Below are 24,288 nucleotides of genomic sequence, written 5' to 3' on the forward strand. Positions count from 1 at the left end.
ATGAGAGATCTATACTCATTCTTTCCATTTTGTATATGAGGAAACTAAGGCACAAAGAGGTTGGATAGTTTGTCTAGTAAGGGCAGAGCCAGGATTCAAAGGCAAGCAATGACTTCAGAGCCAGAACTCCCTAACCACTATACGTATTGTAAGCACTAATGTTAAATATTTGGCCTCCATCAAATCAGGAAAGAAAATTGCAGGTCAGCAAGCCTGTTTCTGCAGGCAGCAGATCCTGGGCTCTACTGTTTACCCTCTGGTAGGAGAACCTAAGTTAGCTGGATCTGGCAGAGGATGAGTGATGCCCATACCCTGTTACTGTGACACCCAAGGGGTCATTTCAGGCCTGTCTGCCATGTCTTACAATCCTCTGTACCTTTCTGTAAAGGATGTCACTTTCTCTTTCTCTCTCTCTCTGTGTGTCTCTCTCTGTGTCTCTGTGTCTCTGTGTCTCTGTGTCTCTGTGTCTCTGTGTCTCTGTGTCTCTGTGTCTGTCTCTGTCTGTCTCTGTCTGTCTCTGTCTGTCTCTGTCTGTCTCTGTCTGTCTCTGTCTGTCTGTCTCTCTGTGTCTCTGTCTCTCTGTGTCTCTGTCTCTCTGTGTCTCTGTCTCTCTGTCTCTGTCTGTCTCTGTCTGTCTGTCTCTGTCTGTCTGTCTCTGTCTGTCTCTGTCTGTCTCTGTCTCTGTCTCTGTCTCTGTCTCTGTCTGTCTCTGTCTCTGTCTGTCTCTGACTGTCTCTCTGTGTCTCTCTGTGTCTCTGTGTCTCTCTGTCTCTGTCTCTCTGTCTCTCTGTCTGTCTCTCTGTCTGTCTCTCTGTCTGTCTCTCTGTCTGTCTCTCTGTCTCTCTCTGTCTGTCTCTCTCTGTCTGTCTCTCTCTGTCTCTCTCTCTCCGTGTCTCTCTCTCTCTCCGTGTGTCTCTCTCTCTCTCCGTGTGTCTCTCTCTCTCTCTCCGTGTGTCTCTCTCTCTCTCTCCGTGTGTCTCTCTCTCTCCGTGTGTCTCTCTCTCTCCGTGTGTCTCTCTCCCCGTGTGTCTCTCTCTCTCCCCGTGTGTCTCTCTCTCTCCCCGTGTGTCTCTCTCTCTCTCTCCGTGTGTCTCTCTCTCTCTCTCCGTGTGTGTGTGTCTCTCTCTCTCTCCTGTGTGCGTGTGTCTTTCTCTGTCTCTTTCTCTCACACATGCACACACATACACACACCCACCCTTGTCTTAACTGGAGCCAGAATGCCCCTGCAAAGTAGGTACTTAGTGTCAGGTGAAGTGCTGGGCTTTATAACTTATGTTTTCTCACAAACAGATGGCATTTCTGCTTTATTTTATAATTGAGGAAAGAATCCTCAGTGAGGTCAGGTAAGTAACTTGCCCATGGTCACAAAGCATGTAAAAGGCACAGCTGAAATTTCAATAAAAATGGTCTCATTTGAAGTCCAGTGTGCTTCTCATCACACCCAGCTTCACCATCCCCCATCCTTTCTCCTCTTAGCTCTCATTACCAGCTACCTGCAAGACACAATGAAAAAAAATACATGAAATCTTACAAGCGTGGGCACCAATATCCTTACCATTTTTGAGGCATCTTAGTTTTCATGCTGTGCCCACAATGGGGGCAAATGAGCCAACTGTTAAGGAACAAAGCCATTGGGGTGTGTTAGTCCAGGTAAGGCTATAAAAGACAGCTTTTACTCTGTCAGGTTATGTCTGGCATCAGAAATGTAAGTCCTCTGGAGAGTGCCTGAACTCTGGCCCAAGGTCAAACTTCAGAGCACCAGACTCCAGGGTAGAGGCCCATGTTCAAGAATATCTGTGCCTAGCTCATAATGATAATGAAAATAATAGCAATAGAAACCACTAAGTTTCTATGAATTAAACACCGCTTATGCACTACTTCTCAGTGTCACCTTTCTCTTATTGCAGCAACTGTTGCAATGACCAGTGCTGCATGGATGTCTTAGTCCGTTTCATACTGCTATAGCAGAATACCCAAGACTGGGTAATTTATAATAAACAGAATTTATTGGCTCATGGTTGTGGAGTCTGGAAAGCCCAAGATCAAAGTGCCAGCATCTGGTCAGGACCTTCTTGCTAGCATCACATGACAGGAAGTAAGGGGATGAGAGAGAGAAAGAGGGGGCTGAACTCACCCTTGTATAATGGTATAAACGACACCCCTGAGAGTGGAGCCTTTGTAGCCTAATCGCCTTTTAAGAATGTTACAATGACAATTAAATATCAACATGAGTTTTGGAAGGGACAAACATTCAGACCATAGCAATGGGCTTTAATCAATTTTACACAGGTACAACTTAACAGTTTCTCAACTGAGATATGTTCATGTACTGCTTGCCTTTTACCCTGGGACCTCTCCGTTGATGCCATTGTAAAACCCTACTCTGCATCACACAAGTGGAACATAGAAGTACAAGAATGTTAACATCCCGTAAAATAAAATACTGGCCAATGAAAGATAAAAGCCATTGAATACATCCTTCCCCCATTCTCTCCTCTGATAGTCCTGAGACACAGCTTGTGTGGTCCAAGAGCTCTCAGAGATGACACCATGATGAAGTATTATGGGATCACCTCAATTAGTTATAGCCGGAATTTGGTGACTACAGTGTGCTCAGGCTGGAGAGTGTCTGGGCATGGGTGAGGCTAGTCCCTGGATTAGGGTATCTATAGGACAAGAAGTCTCTACCAAAGTGTTGATGGCCTCAGTTTCAATAGTGATGATGAGCTGGATTATTAGGTTAAGCTGGGATCCAAGGTAAATTGCTTCAGTACCAAAAACATATTGGCCTACATTCTCTACTTTCTGAAGATATTGGACTATTAACTTTCATATATGTAAAACCAGCTGTGAACAGAACATGACCTAGGAATGCTACCTTCCTGCTCTGGGATATACTCCCTTTGGCTGGTCCCAGAGTTGAGCTGTTTAGCTAATCAAGAGCTTTCTAGTCCAATCAATGGCTAGTGGAATATCCGATCCAAAAGGTGTATTTTTGGATAATCTTATATCAGCACTTGAGCAAAAACTTCCACATAGCCTCTGAAATCCCAGGCAAAATCAAATCAGGATAGAACCTCACGTGTGATAACATTCATCCTCACCATGACTTTCATCCTGAGCCTGGACTTCATCGCTCGTGTTCAGAGGTGCTACATGCTAACATATGAATGACTGAGGAGTGGTCTAATCTAGGGTTTTTTTCTACCTGTGCTGACTGCAGGTCCTTCTCTCAACTTTAACTAGCAATGATTCTACCAAGTTGTTGCAAAGGGGCTGTGGCAGAGACAATGCTAGTGTGGGAACACAAGAATACTGAATGCTGCTTGGAGGTAGAGGAATCTGACCCATGTCAGGCTGTGAAGCACTGAGATCTGGGATTCTTTGTCACTTGAATTTAACTCACTAACACATGCATACATATACACATATGCACACATATACACCTATATGGTCGCTCTTCAGTATGGAGATTGGTTCCAGGAACTCCCAAGGGTATCAAAATCCACAGATGCTCAAGTTCCTGTACTAAGATGGCATAGTATTTGCATCCTCCTGTATATTTTACATCATCACAAGATTCTTAGAATACCCAATACAATGTAAATGCTATGTAAATAATTGTTATACTGTATTGTTTAGGGAATAATGACAAGAAAAAAGTCTTTACATGTTCAGTATAGATGCAACCATTGATTTCTTAAATATCTTTGGCCCAGCAGAGTGGCTCACACCAGTAATCTCAACACTTTGAGACGCCAAAGCAGGAGGGTCACTTGAGGCCAGGAATGTGGGACCAACCTGGGCAACATAGTGAGACCTCATCTCTGTTGAAGTATATATGTAATATATACATGATAAAGATATTTTTGACTCAAAGTTGGTTGAATCCACAGATGAGGACCCCACAGATATGGAGAGCTGACTGTACATACATCTATTTGTATGCATATATATACCTATATGTGTGTGTTTATCAACACTAGAGGGTAGATAACTTTATTCTCAAGCATGACACCCCAGGTACTTCCTCACCTTAGGGCCTTTGCACATGCTGCTTTGTCTGCGTGAACCCTCAGTCTGGCTTGCTACCTTTTTTCCTTCAGGTTGCTCAGAAGTCGTTCTCAGGAACATATCCCTTGAACACCCTATAAAATTGCTCGCCCCTGGCATCTCTATCCCCTTTCCCTACTTTATATAATTTCACAGCACTTCTAACATGCCATATGTATATAATACGTGTGTGTGTGTGTGTGTGTGTGTGTGTGTGTGTGTGTGTGTGTGTGTAACTTGTCTATTGTCTGTTTCCCCTAAACAACATGCAAGCCCCAAGAAAACAGGGGTGTTCATTTACGTAGTTCTGTCCTCCATCCCTGTACCATAAGCAATGCCTGGCACATGGTAGATGCTCAATACATATTTATTAAATGAATTCATGAACCCCTTTTACAGAGACAATCCCAGAGGGGGTAGTTAGACTCAGAGCTAGTGAGTGACAAGAAAGATTTCAATCCCAGGAATTTCTGCTTCAAAGCATTGCTATTTTCTGCTATTAGGCTTCAGGCATGTGCAGAGTAGCCACGGGGTTGTTGTAATGGATGATGCAACCCTGAGGAGAATATTTGCTGTCCGACACCAGGTACAAATGAGCTGACTCTGTCCCAGTGGCCATGCTCTGTTTGTGGTGTTTCTGTTCTGCCCTCAAAGGCATTTACATTGTCAGCAACATCTGTGGTCTTCAAAATTGCTTCACCTCTCTGTGGATCAAACACCTTCAGCTTCCTATCTGTAAATATTGCCTTTGAGGTTTTAAAGCTAAGCTTAAGTTCTGCCAGGCTGGAAGGGAGGTGGGTCAGGTGTTCCGTGACCTTGTTGGCAATAGTCACACACACTTCTCATTGGCCAGTTGATGGTGCCCCCTTTTCCCAGGTGGCTCCTGCCCCAAAGCAGAGAACCTGTGATGAGCTGCTAACATTTGGCCGATGGGGATCTCAACTGCCACATTCACCTTCACTTGGAGCCATAAAGCTTTCCACAGAAGGGATGGAGTCTTGCCTTTATTCAGTGGGGGCTTTAAATAATGTTGATGCCTGAATCCCATGCCTGAAAGTTCGGATTAAATTGGTGTGGGCGTCATGATTTTAAAAATATCCTCAGGAGACTGTAAGTGTGTAACCCAGGTTGAGAATGCTGCTTAGATCGTCTGTAGAATCTCTCAAAAAAAAGTCGCATCTTATTCCTGAATTTTCCTGCTTCCTCACCCTACGTCCTACTAGTACCTGAAGATGATATAGCCTTAGTTTTGTTGCAGAATTCCAGTAACTGTTTTCCAGCTGCCTTTCTTGCTGCAAACAATAGCAGTTCTGGGGAGAAGCAGGTTCTTTCCATTTACCGTGTGTGCCTCAGTTTTCTTATTACAAGTCCCAGGAGAGCCAAGTTGACATTGACTTTCTACTGGCAGCCACTTCCTTAGATGGTGGCTGAAGGCTTTCCCATGACAAACCTTTGTTTCACTACCCCATTCTGCACATGCAGAAACTGAGGACACCGTGTTTGTCACATGTTGAGCCTTGTGTGGCTGTCCTGGCCCGGTGCCTTTGAGGGCAGAAATTGTCATTTTGTTTACCTTGTAGTATCTCTAGGGCACAGTATGGCTTTAGTAGGTGCTCTAGAAGTACTTCTTGCATAAGTGAGTGAATGCATGAACTAATGAATGAATCCCAGTGTGGCACAATGGTGGGAATCCAGTAGGTGGTGCTCAAAAATCCACATGGCAGTTAGATGGCAGGTTGCAGGGGATAATGTTGCCAGCAAGGTATGCTGAGCCCTCAGCACTCGAAATTATTGGACTGTGAGTTTGCATTAGGGACCAATATAGGCACAGACACTGAGGCTAAAGAGGGTGTCTGGAATAGGGGCTTGCTGGAAGGAGCTGGGGTTCATGGTTCCAAGATATAGCTGCAGTCTGGCTATGGTCGGGAGCAACACATCCTGAGGGTGTCAGAGAAGGCTTCTTTTGGAGCCTTTAGTGGTTTGGGGCTGAGGCAGGGGAATTGATCAGGGACCTGGGGTAGTGCTGGCTTTAGAGTGAGAGATCCACGGGCCCAGCAGCTGGGAACTGCTGCCAACGGAGGCAGGGCAGATGCCGTAATGAAAAAGACATACAGTCCATTTAAGAGACAGCTAGTTAGTGAAGAAATTGCTCTGGAAGTAGAATATTTCTGAGGTGGATGCAGAATTTACAAGCTTTAACTATAGATCACATCATGTTTTCAAACACATTTTCCTGTGTTGACGATTTCACTTATTCTGCAGATTGTGCCTGATTCAAGAGCCATAATTCCTGCCATGGAGACTCAGGTGGTGTCATTTGGGTTCCCAAATTGGGTTTGTGTATTGCAGCTAAACGGCCATCTCTTAGTTTCAGAGAGATACCATTTGAAGATGTGCCATCAGCACTGCCACAGTGACAGATGAGAAGCCTCCCATCTGGTAAGGCCTTCCCCAGGCAGGGCTGGCTGCACACCTGGTAGGCCCCGTCTGCACCTGCTGGTGATGTCATCTTATGTGTGGTCTTCTGCTCTGGGGATGGCAGGCGAGTGCCTGCGGCAGCTGGTGTGCTGAGGACCCAGGCAGAAAGAGTCCAGAACGTGAGGGTCATATCTTATATCTAGGACAGCTGCCTCCAAGGTTCCCCTAACCAGAGCAAAGGGCAGAAGCACTGAGATACCCGCTGACACCCAGGCCGACCTCCCAGGGATCTTGGCTATCAGTGTGGGGCAGGGCACCCACAGGGATGGGGAGCCTGGATGGATCAGGCTTTGTGAGGTCACAAGAGGAGACAGGCACAAACAAGCTGCGGTGCAGGGTTATTATGAGTGTACATGTGAATATGGAGTAGCTTGGGATGTCTCTCCAACTGATACAACTTCCCTCTATCCCAGGGTTTCTGAGACTAGACTGAGCCACCAGATTCCTAGAGAACCCATAACTCAATGTCATTAGGCAGAGGACCTATTTTGGTTTTTTTGGTAATAATTTGTTAAATGGGACTCCACCCATTTTCTTGGAATTGGAAGAACCAAGGCTGAAATCTATAGGTGCTATATATCTGCATATTCCTAAATGGGACCGATGGATCCATTCTTTCAGGACATCACTCCAGCACTACCAGTCTGCAATAGCAGGAGATACAAGTTCTTTGGGGCTGTGAATTGCTAACATAGAGGCAGAGTACTGTGACTTCTCTTCCTTTTGGGAGAGGAGAGGAGGAGTGTTCTATACTCTTCCCCCAGTCAAATGAACGGGTCTCCAAGAAAACAGTGGGGCCCTAGGAAATGGGTGACTGCTGTCTCATGCCCTGAGTGGATTCCTACTAGGACACTGGGGCACCAGAGCCATCTATGTTGACAGGAGAAGGGGGGCGGGGAGTGGAGGGAGATGGTAGGCAGGGAGGAGGTAGAAGAGGTACAGCTCCTACTCCCCTGTTTGGTGTGGGAAAGAAGTGGACGTCCCGTGGGTCAAGAGGATCCTGAAAAGGCAGCTTGGCTGGTGCTACCTTCCCAACACCTCACCCAAGAGATTGTGGGGTGTGTCACTGCAGGCAGGAGAGGAAAGGGAGCAAACTTGGTCACATGCCTGCCTCTCAGAGGGTGCTGACTCCAGGAAGGTGCACAGCAGCACGAGTTGGCAAGAGACACTGGCCCCTTCCCCCAGTGTTTCTCCCAGCCCTGACTCAATGGGAAAGGAGGGTGGGGAGAAGGTGGAGGAGGAGTGGAAGAATGGCCACATACCCTTCTGCCTGCAGGTGTCCTGGGCCGGGGGCAGGTCTGAGCTAGGGAAGGGGAAGGATATGAGATGAATGCTTTAAACTAGACGCCCTAAGACTGGATTAAACAAAAATTATAACCCAAAGTGACCAGATGGCTCTAGTTTCTGCCCAAGATGTTGTTAAGAGATTGGAGAGGTAGATTCAAAAGGTTGAAGGCAGTGGTTGGAGAAAAACGAAACCCTTTCACTAAATTAAGAGCGTTTTCTGTATTGGTCTATGTGGGAGTTTTCCTACCGCGATCAGGAGGAAACTCTGAAACAAGAAAAGGGCCCTGCTTGCCTCTGGCCCAGGGGCCATTGCCCTCTGCTTGTGTACCCGTTGTCCCTTTCAATCCACTGTGGCCAGAGCTACAGGCTGACTTCACTGAAAACAGCCCCAACCCAGGGTCTCTTAGGAAGGAAAGCCCTGGTTCAGGCCCTTTATCTCAGAAGGGACACAGAGGCAGCCACAGGACTCCTCTGGCTGTCCATCCAGCATAGCACTCAGGTGGAGGCAGACAGGCATCTGCATAGATTCTAGTACAGGAAGGAGAGGTCAGTCAGACCCAGGGGAGACTGCGGAGGGAGGCTTGCCTTAGGAGTTCAGAGGGGCTTCCAGGTACCCTCTAGAAAAATGTATCCAGAACTGGAGACTAGGGGGCTGAGATGAGGCAAAATTGATGAGATTTTAGAGCCTTGGTCATGGCCCCAGCTTTTTCCCTGCCCCTTACCTCCTGCCAACTTCCTTCTAATCAGGAGCAATAATAGCCTTAAAGGGCAAGGACCTGTGGGCTTGTGTTTGGGGATGTAAGAAAGGAGGAGAGTACATGAACCCCTCTGCAGCTGGGCTTTCCAGGAGGGGCACCCAGCTTAGGGGTGGGTGGAGCCCCTCAGGCCTGAGATTTCTGGCCTGGGACTGGCCACGGATGGGAGTGGCACAGTCAGGTGCCCCTGGACTCTGGAATAACCACCATGACCTGATGATGACGATAACAAGTTTAACTATTGAGTGCCAGGTACGAATCATCACAGCTCTCTGCCGAGACTCCTACTGTTATCTCCATTTCATAGATGAAGAAAAACCTCAGAGAGGCTGCCACACGGTGCAAATCCAGAGTCCATGCTCTCTTCTTTTTCTTTTTGTTTACCTCTTTCTCACTCTCTCCTCCTCCTTACCCATATTACCCCACCCATCTTCCCCACAACCTTGATTAATGACCTGGGATAGATCCTTCTACATTTTTCTCCATACATATAGTCCACTCCATCAGAAATGGGTTGTACAGTATAGACATCTTTTCTTGCTCACAATATCTCACAGAAATTCTCCAACTGACCTCATAAAGTCCCTCCAAATCAATTAGATTGCTATTTTCAGAGGTCATCTGATATTTCACCGTAGGGGTATATCATAAATTCTTCCCCATCCCTCCATGATAGGTGGTCATTTTTTGTTTGTTTTTCTTTTACCACTACCAACAATGCAGCAATAAATATTGTTATATTTGTCTCAGTTGACCAGAATTTTTCTCTCTAGAGGATAGATTTCCAAATTTGAAGTTTTGGGTAGTTTTACTTGAAACAGATATTGCCAAATTGATTTCTAAAAAGGCTATGGCAATTCACACTTCCACCAGCAATGCATGAGTGCACCTCTTTCCCACATCTGCACCAGCCATTACACTTGCTTTCATTTTGTTAGTCTGGTGAGTGTGAAGTGGTATCTAATTGTTTATTTTGGTTTTCAATTTCTTGACCATGAAGGAGTTCTAACATCATTTTATATACTTGCCAGAATTTAGTTCATTTTCTGTTTTTTGCCTATTTATTTGCTTGTCCAGTTAATTTTGGGTTGCCTTTCTTCTTAAGAATATTTCTTTTATAGATGTTAATACTTTATGTGCTATTTGTATCACAAATACTTCCTTCCAAATCTGTTATTTTGTTTATGGGTTTCAATTATAATACTTTTTACCATATAAAAGTTACAAATTTTTGTATTTCAAAAATTTCTTTTTTGTATTAATGTCCTTTTTCTTAAGAAGGTCTACCCAACACCTCGATTCTATATGTAGTCTCTAAGAACTCTCTTCTATGGCTTTTATAATTATTGTTATTTTTTACATAAAAGTTTTCAACCAAGTATGAAATTTATTTTTGTACAGAGCATAAGGGCTCAACTTATTTATTTTCCAAATGGATAGACAGTTGTGCCAGTCTAAGTGCCAGGGAGAGCTGAGAAAGTCAACAAGAGCTGAGACCTGAATTCTCTTGCCGATGGTTCAAGAGAGAACTGGGGAGAACAGGTGAAAGGTGATTGAGACACACGAGAGCCCTTGCCTGTACCCCCACTGCCCTGCAAAGAGATGCTTGGTCCAGGACTCAGAGATGAGCGAGGCAAGGGATGTCTCTATTGGAGGAGAAGGGGACAATAAGTACATCCTACTAAAGTATCATCTTTGTCATATTTTTAAATTCTCATGGTAGGATCTGTTTCTGGATTCCCTATTCCGCTCCATTGGTTTATTAGTCCATTCCTACTCCACTGGCAGTGTGTGTATGTGTGTGTGTGTGTGTCACAAAAATTAGATCACTGTGGCTTTAAAGATTAATTCCAATGTCTTTAGTGTTTCCCAGTTAAGAAAAATGTTTCTCTTCCTCTTTCTCTTTCTTCTTTTTCTTTCTTTATGTCTTTATTGGGAATATCTCAAATTTTATTAAATGAGTTTTCAGCATCTACTTATATAATCCTATGGTTATCTTTTAATATTTTGGCATAGTGGACGACTTTAATAGATTTCCTCATATTGAAACAACTTTCCATTCCTCAAGTAATGCCGCCTTAGTCATTGTAACTTTTTTGGTTACATTGGTTTCTATTCATTAATATTTTATTGATAATTTCTGTATTTATATTCATCTGTAAGACTGGTCTCTAGTCTATCTTTTTGTGCTGTCATTATTAACTTTTAATACTAACCTTATATAAACTTCATGAGATAAATTGATTTTTTTCCCATTTTTAGTGTGGTTTGGAATATTTTTAACATCAGAAATTATCTGTTTTTCAAAGGTTAGATAGAATTCAGGTGTTAAACCACCTGGCCTTAGCTCTTTTTTAATGCAAGTTCTTCAAAGTCTTTCCAATTTTTTCTCATGGTCACCCAGGATTTTGATTTCTTCTTGGGTCAATTTAGGTAAATTTGTATTTTACTAAAAAATTGTGCACTTTCTCTAGGTTTTACAAAGTATTGTTATCTACTTGTACATGCTGTTCTCTTACAATTTTTTTTGATCCTTGCTCTTAACTACTGTCCAGACTGTTATCCTTCTGAAGCTTAAGAGAACCTAGCTATGCTCAGAGTGGTCAAATGTCTGAGATGAAACTGTTCAGACCCAGGGTTGAAACAAAGGGTCGACACAAGGAGTTTATACAAGGAATTATGGGGGGATGCTTTGGCTATTCATAGACGAAGGAATGTTTGATATCAGGGTAGCAGGGAGAGCTAACAAAGTCAAGAGCTGAGACCTGAATTCTCTTGCTGATGGTTCAAGAGAGAACTAGGGAGAAGAGGTGAAAGGTGATTCAGACAAATGAGAGCCCTTGCCTGTACCCCCACTGCCCTGCAAAGAGGTGCTTGGTCCAGGACTCAGAGATGAGCGAGGCAAGGGATGTCTCCATTGGAAGAGAAGGGGTCAATAGGTACATCTCCAACAAAGGCTTCTAAAACTTGAGTGGGTTTCATTACGGCCTTTGTTCCCATGAAGACCAACATGGGAGATAGAAAATGATACAAGTGTCAGCTCAAACACGTTTAGTTCTTTCTCAAATGGCAATTCTCAGCATGTCATAGAGGCACTGGTTAACTCAGTAGGGTAACAAAATGGGTCATAGGAGCTCAGTCATGCTTAAAATTTTATGAAGATCCATTAGCTCTAATATGAGGAAACCAGAGATGCTATTGGTATACTTTGGTGAGTTAAAAATAAATAAGACTTTTTATTCAGGTGATTAACCCTTGAGGCAGAACTTGGATTTTATACCTCTTCCTACCCCCGCAGGGCCTGCTCTATTAAGTACTTAGAACCAAGGCTATAAAGATATGAAACTTGTTTATTTTGGGGTATTGAACCCCTCAGTAAACTAGTTCTAATTGAACTTTCAGTGTGGGATGCCTCAAAGTAACAAAGGTTCATGGTGTGTTTTTGTTTGTTTGTGTGTTTTTCAAAATAATAGAGGCCTTCTCTCTCTCCTTCCTGGGCTCAGCTCCGTTAGCCGTCATCCTAAGCCCTTTGACCCAACATCTTCTAGGGTGGTGTCAGAAACTTCTGGCTTTACGTGCATTTGTCCCTGTTCTGTCTCACCCTACCCCTCCTCCGCAGAGCAGGCAACCTGTCCTTACCATGGAGCTGAGCTGAAGACCATTCTGACTGGCAAACACCAACTAAGGTTTTCTTACCGAACTAGCCTTGAGTGCTTGAATTTCTCTTCCCTTACCATCAGTTTTCTCCCAGGAAGCTTTTCAGCATTTTGTGTAAAAAGCCTTCTGTGTGGCTGGCCCCACTGTTCTAATAAATTGAATAAGAATATGAGCTGCTAACATTAATACATTAATCAAATACTTACTCTATTTCAGGTACAGTACTGTGTTAAGCACTTCATAGAATTTAATTGATTCAATTCTCAAAATAACTTCATCAGTCAGTGTTTTGTTTTTTTTTTTCTTTTTTTTTTTTTTTTTTTTTCTAGAAGGAGTCTCACTCTGTCACCCAGGCAGTCGCACTATCTTGGCACACTACAACATCTGCCTCCCGGGTTCAAGCAATTCTCCTGCTTCAGCCTCCAGAGTAGCTGGGACTATAGGCATGTGCCACCATGCCCGACTAATTTTTGCATTTTTAGTAGAGACGGGGTTTTGCCATGTTGGGCAGGGTGGTCTTGAACTCCTGACCTCAGGTGATCCGCCTGCCTCAGCCTCCCAAAGTGCTGGGATTACAGGTGTGAGCCACTGCAGCTGGCAAAGGTTCTTTTGATTGCAAATTACAGAAACTCCACCTAAAACCTGCTTAAGTATGCATTTGTCTGCACTAGACATTTACTATTTTCATAATCAGGAAAACATGACTTAAAAGGGGTTCATATAGCATTCACCACATTGTTTCTTATATTATAATCAGTGAAGACTCTTGTCCCATAGACTGATCTCCTTAAGGGCAGGGACTGTCTTATGTGCCTCCAAAGCCCCTTCCTTGCCTTTTCAATTTGTGCTTAAGGATATATGTAAAGTGGATTGAATTGACGTGTCTCGTAAGGGAGGCTTTTTGCAGTCCCAATTCTTCCAGAAGCAGATGATAATAAGAAAGTAGTTTACACTTGAGCCAATACATGATTTTTCAGGACAAGCCATGTAACCTCAAATGGATGTAATAATCCCAGGTTATTGTGAAGCTCAAATGAGTTAGAGCCCCTTGTGAGCTGTAAAACTCTGTACACCTGGTAGTTTGTAATGACTTGGGTTTATAGAGCCTTCTCATTTCCGAAGCCTCTATCCAAGGTGAGTCATGTCTATTTCTAAATTTTCTAAGAACCATCATTCTCTCTTGATGAAAAGAAATGGTGCAAGGGAGCAAGAAGCTGGGAACATCAATTTAGGACACGATTATTAATCGCCTGCCTTGTGCACACTCCAGACCCACATATCCTACTGTCAGATTCTTCTGACATTTCATCTGGACATCTCAAAGCGCTCCCAAACTCAATAGGTTTAAGACAATGAGTTCAGCCTCTTGCCTTCCAAACTGGTTCTCTTGAAGTGTTCTCTAGACCAGTGAATGTGCCTCTTTCTGTCCTCTACTCTTCTGTCTTGCTCAGGTTCCATATTCAAGCTCCTGCTATGATCTATCTACTCTACCTCCTAAATGCCTCTGAAATTTATTCTTCTCTCCATCTTCACTGCCATGAGCCTAGTCCAAGCTACCATCATTCCTACCTGCTATCTGGTCTACCCATGGATTGGGTTTGCCTTCATCCTATCAAATCTATTTAGCCATCAAATACAACTGATCCTGTCATCTGCCTGCTTACAACTTTTCAGTGGCTTCCCTCACTCGGAAGAGAAGGACTCTATATTTAACAAAGCATATAGAGGCCCTGCATGGGACAGTACCAGCCACCTTCCACCCCCATCTTTCCCATAGTGCCCCTTCACTCCTCTGGCTCCCCACAATGAGCTTTCCTACAGGTCCTCTCACTGCCACTCCATGGACTATTTATGCAGAATGGAAGGACATGCCTCTATCCTCCAGTCGTGCCTTCTCATGTGCACGTCAGCTTAAGTGTCATTTCCTCGGAATCCACCTCTCACTTCCCTGACTAGTTTAATCTGCCTTTTATACTCTGTCAGGATTCTGTGTGTCCCCCCCTTTTTTTGTGATGGGGTCTTGCTCTGTCACCAAGGCTGGAGTGCAGTGGTGCAATCTCAGGTCACTGCAGCCTCCGCCTCCCGGGTTCAAGCAATTCTCCCACCTCAGCCTCCTGAGTAGCTGAGATTACAGGCACATACCACCATGCCCAGCTAATTTTTGCATTTTTAGTCGAGGCAGGGTTTCACCATGTGGCCAGGCTGGTCTCGAACTCCTGACCTCAGGTGATCCACCCATCTTGGCCTCCGTATGTCCCTTTCTTAGTACTTTGTACAGTTGCACTTTTACATTATTTAATTATTTGATTAGTATTTGTCTTTTCCACTAGACTCTAAGCTCCATGAGGGCAGTGACTGTGTCTCTCTTCATGCATGGTTGTGTCCCCAACATACAGCACACAGTTAGAAGATGGATGCATATATGTTGAATGAAGGAATGAAAGAATGAACACATGCAGGCATGTCAGGCACTGTGCTAGAAGCTGCGGATACAAAGACAAATCACGTAATGTCTCTGCCTTCAGGGCTCTCATTGCCTAGCAGGAAGGACAGTATAGGTAAATAAATGGTTTCAAGAGATCTGTGGAGCCTCTGCAAAGAACAGTTGAATGCAGATAAAATAAACATAAAGGAAATAAAAACAAGCTCAATCATACCAATGTCAGAAAAACTACCTTGTGCATACACACATAAAAACCCCTGGCTGTATATACATGTATCACAGACAGAAACACTCATTCCACAGCACATTCTGAAATACCCGTAGGGATAACAACAGCACCCTTATGCACATATGCACATGTGCACAAGCCAGCATACCACCCTGCACTCACATGCTTCATGCCTGCCCTCCACACAGACACACACACACACGCACGCACACACACACTCTCACTCAGGGCAAAGCTGATATTGATCTTCTTTTATTTACAGAGGGGTGGGAGTCCCAAGATTTTAAGGATGGGTCGATGTGGGAGCAGAGTCCCAGGGAAGGATTATTCTGCAGCCAGACCAAGTGTTCAGTCCCAAGGGGAAGGGGCCTGGCAAGGCCAACAGGGATTCCAGGCCCAGGTCTAGCAAGGCTGTGGCCCCAGTAGAGATGCATTGTTAATCAGGAACTGCAGTGGATGATCCTCCCTATACTTACCTGGTTCCATGTCTGGAACTCTGCAAGTCAGGGTTACTCTGAAACTCAGAGGCTGAGTTTAGGGTAAGAAGAATTGGTCCAAATCCTCACGCGCTGGGAGGAAGGCAGCCAAGCATGGTCATGCCATTCCCTTCCTCCCTTCCTCCCTTCCTTTGGTTTACCTGCTCTCCTCTAGGTGCTGGAGTGGGTGCTAGAACACAGGAAGGAAGCAAAATCACTGCTGTCACAGAGCTCAGTCCGGCAGGGCAGATAACCAATTACAGAAGGGCACGGAGGGGGCCCCAGTCTCACCCTGGAGGCTCAGGGACACTTTCAGAGGAGGTATTTTAAGCTGAATCCCAAGGGACTAGAAAGCGTTAGCTGGGTGATCCTGATTGGGTAGATCTGCAGCAGGGGCTCCCAAATTTGCATCTTACAAACACCAGTGACCCCAGCTGCAGATGCAGGTAGGGGTGGATCACATGTTGAGAAACCCTGGAGTGGAGGGGATTAGGACCAGTCAGGGGAGACGGGAGGAGGCTGCATTGGTAACTGGGGTGTGTAGGAGGTGATCTTTTAAATTCTAGACATGTCGGTGGGAAGGAGAGCCACACCGTGTGTCTTCATACAGATTGCAGAAGGGGACACTCTCCCAGAGGGCAGGTCCGAGGACCAGAGACTCAGGCTCTGAGCTGAGCTTTGTCCATGAGGGGGTGGACACCCTGTGAAGGATTAACCTTCATATTTGTATATTTCCCCTTGAACTACGAGGAAGCTTTATAAAGCAAGCATGAATGGAAAACCTGGCCTGCTCCCACATCTGTGATTTGCCTTTGCTACCACTAACATGTCAGGGAGGTCTGGTCTACCTGACAGCCTTGTGTGGTGGAGGCATGGAGAATTAAAGTGAGGCAGCTGGCCTATTCTAGCCTCAGCTGGTGGATGAGGCAGCATCCTGGAGAGAGCTGAGGGAAGATCGGGGGCAGATGTGAGACAGATCCCCTCACTGCCAAGAGATACCAGGTGAAGGGAAGTGACCATGTTCTAAGTATATGCCTTTCTGTCTCTCACTCATCATAGCCAGTCATTCACCATGCTTGATAATTTATCTCCTCACCTTCCTTTACTATTACTTTAAGTCAGACCTAAGTCGTCTTTCTAACTGACATGTCATTCTCTTATCCTTTTCAGTTCAGAAAACTCCTATTCACCCATAAAAGCCCAGGTTATAATGACCACCCCTTCTCTGTGGCATTCTTGGACTATCCCAGCCCAGATTTCTCTCTCTCTCTCTCTGTCACTCACTCACTCACACACATACACGCACTCACACACACACAGAACATACCTATATTCTATATGAAAAACAACACTGGTCCTCGAGTCTGAAGACCTAGATACAAATTTGAATTATTTCACTTTCACTTAGTAGCTCTGAGAACTTGGGTAAGTTATTGATCTCATCTGAACCTCTTCCTTTCCTCATCTATAAAATGGGTAGTTAATATTTACCTCATGAGCTATATTGTAAGACTTGATAAACGTCAAAGCATGTAGAATATAAATGCACATCACAGACATTCAATTATGGAATTTCTTTTACTTCTCATCACATTGTACACTGAGGAGCTACCATTTTCCTAAGACATCCTTTCAGATAGTAAGCACCTTACAAGAGACACCCAGACTTCTGCTCTTTTCCTCTGTGCCCATACCCAGGGGTCTACAAAAGAACCAGTTGAATAAACAACTATGCAATTGCTGTGACCCCTGGAAAGAAGGTAAACACCTTTGTGAGTTTGGCCCATCCGGTGGATTTTGGTTGGAATCTTTGTGTGCAGCATCCCTGGTTGGCCAATTGGCCAAAGTTTCAAGTACAGGAAAGAGGAGTTTCTGCTCTTCCTCACGTGCTCATCACTCCTGGTGGTTTTCCTTGAACCATAAATCATGACACTGCATTCTGAGCCTCCCTGGCCACACTTCTTGGGTGTGGGCACTCAGGTCTCAGTGTGCATGGCATGCATCCAGAGCTCTGGGCATCCTGCCCTCTGCTCAGTCTTTCCTCAGACCTGCCTTTCCCCATCCTCATCCCCCAGCTCCCAGCCCTGGGTGTCTTGATGTTAACATCGAAGGACAAATGCAGTCCTATATTTCAAAGTCATCAGGCAGATGTGATTAATTTTGGAAATGAACAACAAGAAGATTAATCACAAACTTTCAGGTATGAGCAGCAATAAACAAAACCAGAGCATGGAGCGCTATTTATTAAAACAGTAAATTGAAGGGAAATGGGCTATTTATTTTGTACCATGTCTTCTACAGAAATAATTGGCTCATTAATCACCATGGTCACGTTTGGAAGGGCAGGCTCGCTAGGGAATTGAAGCAGGGGGCGGTGCTTACAGCTCTGGCAGCACATGGAGCTACAGGAAGTTGGTTCCCAGAGGGGTTTTCCTGTGGATTCTGCAGCGAGTGCATAGGCAGTGAGGTAGCTGGGAGGTAGCAGGTTATGGTGGTTAAGACCACAGATGATTGGCAGCAGGGGGCTTGAGTACAAGTTCTGGCTACTACTCCTCGCTAGCTGTGGGCAAACTATTTAACCTCTGTGTCTCAGTCTCTTCTTCTGTAAAATGATGTCAGTACTGGAACCATCTTGTAGGATAACATGCGTTTAAGTGAGTTGGTAGGGCACTGGTATATTACTGGGCCAGGTTTGGCACTTCTATAGGTGTTAGTTGTCATTGCTCCTTTGGTCCAGGTAGAACTTCAGGGTGGGACACTTTGGTATCAATGGCAGCTTCCAGCATAAAGTTATTGTGGAGTTCCCAGGGTCCAGAATGGAGGCAGAATAGTATAGAAGAGGATAAAAGGGAAGGCTCTACAGTCAGCCTCCCTGGGTTCAAATCCAGCCTTTGCTAGTTATATGTCCTTATCGAATGATTTGGCCTTTCTGTGCCTTAGTTTTCTCAACTGTAAAACAGGGTGCTAATAATAGCGCTACGTGATAAGGTTATATTGAATATTAAATGAGAAAATAGAAGTACTCACCTCAGTGCCTGGCCATCAAAGTCATCAATTAGTTGATGTTATTATCATTTTTAGGATCTTCTTACACACCACTCATAATCCAGTGAGCTCAGCAGGTGAGCAGATATACTGAGACTGGAGCCCCTTCCCTGATGGAAAGGGGAGGGAGCCAGAGTTCAAAGAGCGAGGGGCTGAGGAACCTGCATCCATAGCAAAGGCCAGCACCTCAAACGCATATGGAGGGTTCGCATGGTTTGGGCAGGTGACCATGACCAAGGGTTTGTGTCTTTGGAGCAGGGCATAGCACTTACGAGTAGGTGACCCCTTGGTGGTAGCACCCTAGCCAAGGTGGAGCTCCAGAGCACCAACCCAGTGGGCTGAGGTTTTTGGGGACATTCAGTTCCTGATGGGAGAAGGACCTCTTCAGCCAGCACAGCAGACGGGGTAGAAAGGGCAGGATGGAAAGGCCAAATATATAACACACACAGTTCACCCATCTCCTGCTCATCCTCTCTGATACTCCTGCCTATGGAAGCCAGACCCTCAGAATCCTCCCCAACACATCACTTCAGGCAGCCAGGACCAACTGAATGCCCTTAAACAGATGGAGTCTGTTTGCGATTCCAAGGCTACAAGATCAAAACTCACCCCAGACTCATCTAGGGCATCAAAACTGCAGGTCCCTGCATGCTGATGGGGCTGGGGCTGTTCATGACCACCTTCCTTAGAGATAAGGAGGAAGCAAGCCTATGAGAGGGGGTCTGGGTCTCAATGACCCCAGAGGAATTGGACAGAAGGATGCAGTGCCAATGATGTCTTCAGGTGGCTCATGCTGTAATTGGGGAGATCTCTCTCCTGTCTCCTCTCTCTTACCAATAAAAGGAATGGTTAAATGTCAAAGGAAGTGGTATGGTTAGTGTCCATGTAAGAGTATTCAGGGACTGGGAGAGGGATGCAAACTGGCAAGACAGGATGGGCAAGTGGCCTGTGACATCCAGACCAGGGCTAGGCTGAGGGTGGCATGTACTGGTGACTCATTCCCTGCTCTTCTTGGCCTGCTCTGTATTGACCCCTGTGGGCTGAATCAGTGGCTCCCCCGACCCCCACCCCCAGCTGGGTTTGGCCAGTGGGAGGCTTTGGTGGAATATCTGACAGCAGATGGAGAGGGGGGTTTCCCCCCCCTTCGTTTGGCTGTGGTTTTTCCCTCTTCGCTCAGCTGTGGTTTCTATAGTGGGGGTTCTTCTGCCTTTGGCTGTGGGGTCCTGCTGGCTGCAGCCTCCAGTGAGCCTGCTGGCACTCCTCCCTCTCCTTGCCCCTCTAGCTCTAAGGGTAGGAAGGGCTTCTGCTCTTGTCTCAGGGTTCGTCACCCTACCCTAGCCATGCTTTCGAAGAACTTCGGTTGTTAAACTCTCTTCATTTCATCTCCCCTTCCCCAGATCCGAGGCCCCGACTCATATCCTGAGTACAGAAGGGGCTTTTTTTCCCCTTGTTGGGGAAAGGGTCAGGTTCTACCAGGAGCATTTCCATGATTAGAAACCAAAGACAGACCAGGCCCGTGGAAAGGCGTGAGTAGAACAACTTAAGGGAACAGAAAGTACTGGGGAGAAATAACTCTCACGCCATCTCTTTGGTTTGAGGATCATTTCCTTGGAGTCCTCCTTTAGTAGTTCAGTTCCTTTTGGAAATCCTAGTGTACCTCACCTGGACTGTAAAGGAACCTGGGGGTGGGAGCACGAAGGGAGCACAGTGCCCCCTAGAGGCTGTGGCGAGGGTGGCAGCGGCAGGAGCCAGAAGGCAATGGGAGGGGCTCACGGGGAGGAAGAGATACTCAGAGGGTACAGATCTGGACAACTTGGCTCAATTGGACAGGGACATAGAGACATTATGTGGTGACAGTCTTTAAAACCTGGTTTCCACGATGTGGCTACACCATATAATTTTAAAAGACACCCACATTAGGGCTAATGTCTCTCCAGGCCCTTTCTGCCCAATCTTGTTTCCAAAACAACAAGGAAGGTTAAAATTCCTGACTGTGGGTAGAGAGGTTGGCTGAGGCAGAGGGCAGGGCAGTGGGACTTGAGGGTCTTATGGGGTCAGGTGCTAGATGTGGTCTAGGGTGTCTACCTCATTCCCCTCCCTCCTGTTTGGAGCTGAAGGCAGGAGAAGGAGCATGGCTGAGAGATGACACGTTTTTGGGTGACTATTCTGTTTGTTTTACTGGGTTTTAGAGAGTGGTGACCATGGCGATAAAATCTGAAGGGCAGAGAGTGAATGCTTCTGTCTTGCCTCAGAACCCCCTTACATCTCTTGCTTGTAATTAGAAATGGTAAGAATAAAAGAGCTCTGATTTCCAACAACCTTTGCTTCACAAGGGCCATGTCAAATGATGACAGCCCTATTCTTATAAAAGCAGATTCTGGGAGGAGCAGAAATCCCTTTTCTCTATGGAGTCAGTGTGTTTGCACTCATGCACGTTTGTGTATCTGAGTATGTACATGTATGTCTGCATGTGTCCAACCTGCTGCATGTGTGTGCATATGTGTATGTGTGTGGCTATGTTAACCTGTGCGTGGATGTGTACATAGATGGTGAAACATGTGTACCTCTGTTGCATGTGTGCACAGCCGTTGTAGGGATTGTGTGTGCATTCCCCCATGGGCGAGGGGCTGTGAGGGAGTAGGTCCTGGTATCTAAAATCTTTACATCCTGCTTCTATCAGTCTTGTTTGTTGTAAAGAGCAGGGAGCTGGTCAACCAGCTGAGGGAAAAGAAAAAACATCAGGGTGTGTATGGGTTGGGTCTGGGAGGAGGAAACCCAGGCAGCTCCAGGGCCAGTTTGCTGCCTTTTGCTCATCAGCTCCTTTCTTTTCTCTGCTTAGTTGTGGTTTTCCCCATGATCCCAGCCTGCACAGGGGTCTAGTTTCTTGGTCCTCTGAGGCTGGCTCTTCCCCAGGTACATCCTGTGCATGGCCATGGGTCCTGGCCTTCTTCAATTGGCTGAATATGGTGTGTCATGGTGCAAATTCACAGGCAAAATTTGATTGGCCCCAGCTGGTCATTTTTGTGCTTAGTCATTACCTACTCAGCAGCCAACAAAATACCTGTCCATGGGTCAGGCTGAATCAGCTATGGTCATGGCACAAACAGGGTCACACCTGGGACTGTGGTTGGGATAGTTTTCTTTAAAAGAGATGTGGACATGGAGGACAATGATGAATGCCTCAGATACTTATGCAAAAATTCCCTGTCACCTGTGAAGTGCCCACCCTTATCTCTGTGGAGGTCAGGACCATGGGGATGTCCCCCAACAAGGAAGGACTTGCCTGAGCAAGGCGGGATGAGCGTAGGCAGCCTCCTGGGGCCTGGCCTGGCCTGGCCCTCACCACCCCTCCCCTATGTCCCTGTTCCTTGAAGGAGGGAGCTTCGAGGCTGAATTGTGTCACCTGACCCCAAACTTGTCCTAACCCCCAGTACCTCAGAATGTGATCTTATTTGGAGATAGGGTCTTTACAGAGGGAATGAAGTTAGTATGAGGTCATTTGGGTAAGTCTTGATCCAATACGACTGGCGACCTTAGAAGAAGAAGAGATTTGGAAATAGAGACATGCATAGAAAGAAGAGGATGTGAAGAGACACAGGGAGAAGAGGCCAAGCACAAGCCAAGGAGAAGACCCAGAACTGATCCATGCCATCCTTCCCTCACAGCCCTCAGAAGGAGCTACCCCTGCCAACATCTTGATCTTGGCCTCCCAGCCTCCAGAGCAGTGAGCCAATACCTTTCTGTTGTTGAAGCTCCCCAGTTTGTCACACTTTGTAACAGCAGCCCTAGCAAACTAATATACCTCCCCCAAAACTTCCTCAAAATAGGGGAGAGGATGTGGGGCACTAACACCATGCCACCAGGTGTGTGTGGCAGCCAGGACACCGGGCTTCTGACACTCAGCCTCTGGATTCACCAAATGAGGAAGCTTCAAGGCTGGTGCCTGAGCTAGTCATTTAAAATTTTTGATGAGACCCACTGAAGATTTCAGGAAGGAAGGGATCTGATCATATTTGTATTTCAGGAAGACCCTTGTAGCTATCACAGTGTGGAGGATAGATGAGTTGGGGAGGCTGTCTGTGAGTGTTGAAGAGGCTTGGGGAAGATTTCAGAGCTGTTTCGGAGGCATCGCTGCCATAATATACTGAGGGCAAGAAGGGGTGGTGGAGGGTGAGGACAGGAAGAGCTCAGTCGCGAGGAGTGTCTGGTTCGAGCACCTGGTGGAGGTGGTGCTGGTCCTGGTCCCTGGGCCGGGCCTTATGGGGGCCCTCAGATCAGCATTGTCTGCATTATGGCCACACGCCTGCCCAGGGCCCATCAGCAGTGAGAGATCAAGCCTGGAACTTAGAGGAGAGCTCTGGGGTGCACACGTGGATCTGGGTATCACTGGTGTCCAGGTGCAGATGGGCCATGGGTGGGGACAATCCGAAGGAGTGGGCGTAAGCTGCTTCTCCCAGAAGCATACTCAGGGACAAGCATTTGGGAGGTGATTGGGGCAAGTGCAGAGGAGTGAGGGATATGAGACAGGAAAGGGAAGAAAGGCCAGGGGCATTCAGGAGCAACTGGGGCTGAGTCCCTCCAGGGCCTGTCTGAGACTACAGGATCAGGCCTCCAATTTGCACCCCTGAAGGGTGAGGAAGCCTATCCCTTATTGGCTGGGGGTTGTTCCTATGAACCAAGCTCTCTAATACTTCCTGTCTGCCCTGCATGGGCTAAGCAGGTGCCTATGGCCAGAGAAAGGCCTCAGGCAGTGATGCAGGCTGCTGGAGCTATATGGCTGTTGGCAGTGACTTTTTTTTTTTTTTTTTTTTGAGACAGAGTCTCACTCTGTTGCCCAGGCTGGAGTGTAGTGGCATGACCTTGGCTCACTGCAGCCTCAACCTCCTCAACTCCTGGGTTCAAGTGATTCTTGTGCCTCACCCTCCCAAGTAGCTCGGATTACAGGTGCCTGCCACCACACCCAGCTAATTTTTATATTTTTAGTAGAGACTGGGTTTCACCATGTTGGCCAGGCTGGTCTCAAACCCCTGACCTCAGGTGATCCACCCACCTCGGCCTCCCAAAGTGCTGGGATTACAGGCGTGAGCCACCGTGCTTGGCCAGCAGTGACTTGGAGTCTGGCCAGGATACAGTCAATGTACTCTGGCTTCTGCCATTGTTGCTGCTAACAATTGTGTCCATCTTCTTGGGGGGTGTGAGGAGCCCATTCTCTTCTTTCATTACTCATAACAGAGGGGACCATGGGCAGGAACTAGGCGAGGGCTGGGGGCTGAGTTAGGGAACTGGGTGGTGGGCCAGGCAGCAGGGCTGGCTGAATAGGAGGTCTTACAGCACAGGCTAAAAGAGTCCTTTCCAGTATCAGGGAAGGCAGTGGAAGCAGGAAACACAGGCGTTTAATGTGCAAATGTCCTGAGGCTGTCCCAGAGGGGCTGACCTGGAGCCCTGCGTGAGTGAGCCAGGTGCTAAGGGCTGAATTGAGTCCCCCAAAAGGATATGGTAAGGTCCTCACCCCCAGTACCTCAGAATGTGACCTTATTTGGAGATAATCTTTACAGAGGTAATCAAGTTAAATGAGGTTGTTAGGGTGGTCCATCATTCAACATGACTGCGGTCGTCCTAACGACAGGAAATTTGGGCCCCAGAGACAGACACATACAGAGGGAAGACAATGTAAAGACACAGGGGAGAAGATGGACATCGCCCCGCCAGGGAAGGCCTGAGACTACCAGGAGCCAGAAGAGAGGCCTGGAGCAGATTCCCCTCCCAGCCCACAGAAGGAACCAGCCCTGCCAACACCTTGATTTTGGACTCCTAGCCTCCCAGACTGTGAGACGATCATTTTCTGTTATGTGAGCCACGCAGTGT

At 46.4% G+C, this 24,288-nt stretch overlaps 1 long non-coding RNA gene across 1 annotated transcript, besides 3 other annotated features; it reads right to left on the reverse strand.

Annotated features, from left to right (window-relative positions):
• Positions 484-1,120: an enhancer, noted in NCBI's record as "H3K27ac-H3K4me1 hESC enhancer chr11:11268094-11268730 (GRCh37/hg19 assembly coordinates)". NCBI's record gives its function as "activates a minimal SCP1, AML or CMV promoter by ChIP-STARR-seq in primed H9 embryonic stem cells {active_cell/tissue: H9 hESC(primed)}" and the evidence as "EXISTENCE:reporter gene assay evidence [ECO:0000049][PMID:30033119]".
• LOC124902631 (uncharacterized) lies at positions 1,276-15,567 on the reverse strand. The gene is made up of 2 exons (XR_007062594.1): positions 15,379-15,567; positions 1,276-1,493 (listed from the first exon to the last, which is right to left on the reverse strand). It is a non-coding gene; the product is annotated as an uncharacterized LOC124902631 (long non-coding RNA).
• Positions 11,386-11,552: a silencer, noted in NCBI's record as "fragment chr11:11278996-11279162 (GRCh37/hg19 assembly coordinates)". NCBI's record gives its function as "represses an EF-1alpha promoter that drives an FKBP-Casp9 reporter gene in an ReSE screen in K562 erythroleukemia cells {active_cell/tissue: K562}" and the evidence as "EXISTENCE:reporter gene assay evidence [ECO:0000049][PMID:32094911]".
• Positions 19,073-19,574: an enhancer, noted in NCBI's record as "H3K4me1 hESC enhancer chr11:11286683-11287184 (GRCh37/hg19 assembly coordinates)". NCBI's record gives its function as "activates a minimal SCP1, AML or CMV promoter by ChIP-STARR-seq in naive H9 embryonic stem cells {active_cell/tissue: H9 hESC(naive)}" and the evidence as "EXISTENCE:reporter gene assay evidence [ECO:0000049][PMID:30033119]".

This window comes from Homo sapiens, chromosome 11 (genome assembly GCF_000001405.40).
Source record: "Homo sapiens chromosome 11, GRCh38.p14 Primary Assembly".
Classification (NCBI taxonomy): Eukaryota; Metazoa; Chordata; class Mammalia; order Primates; family Hominidae; genus Homo; species Homo sapiens.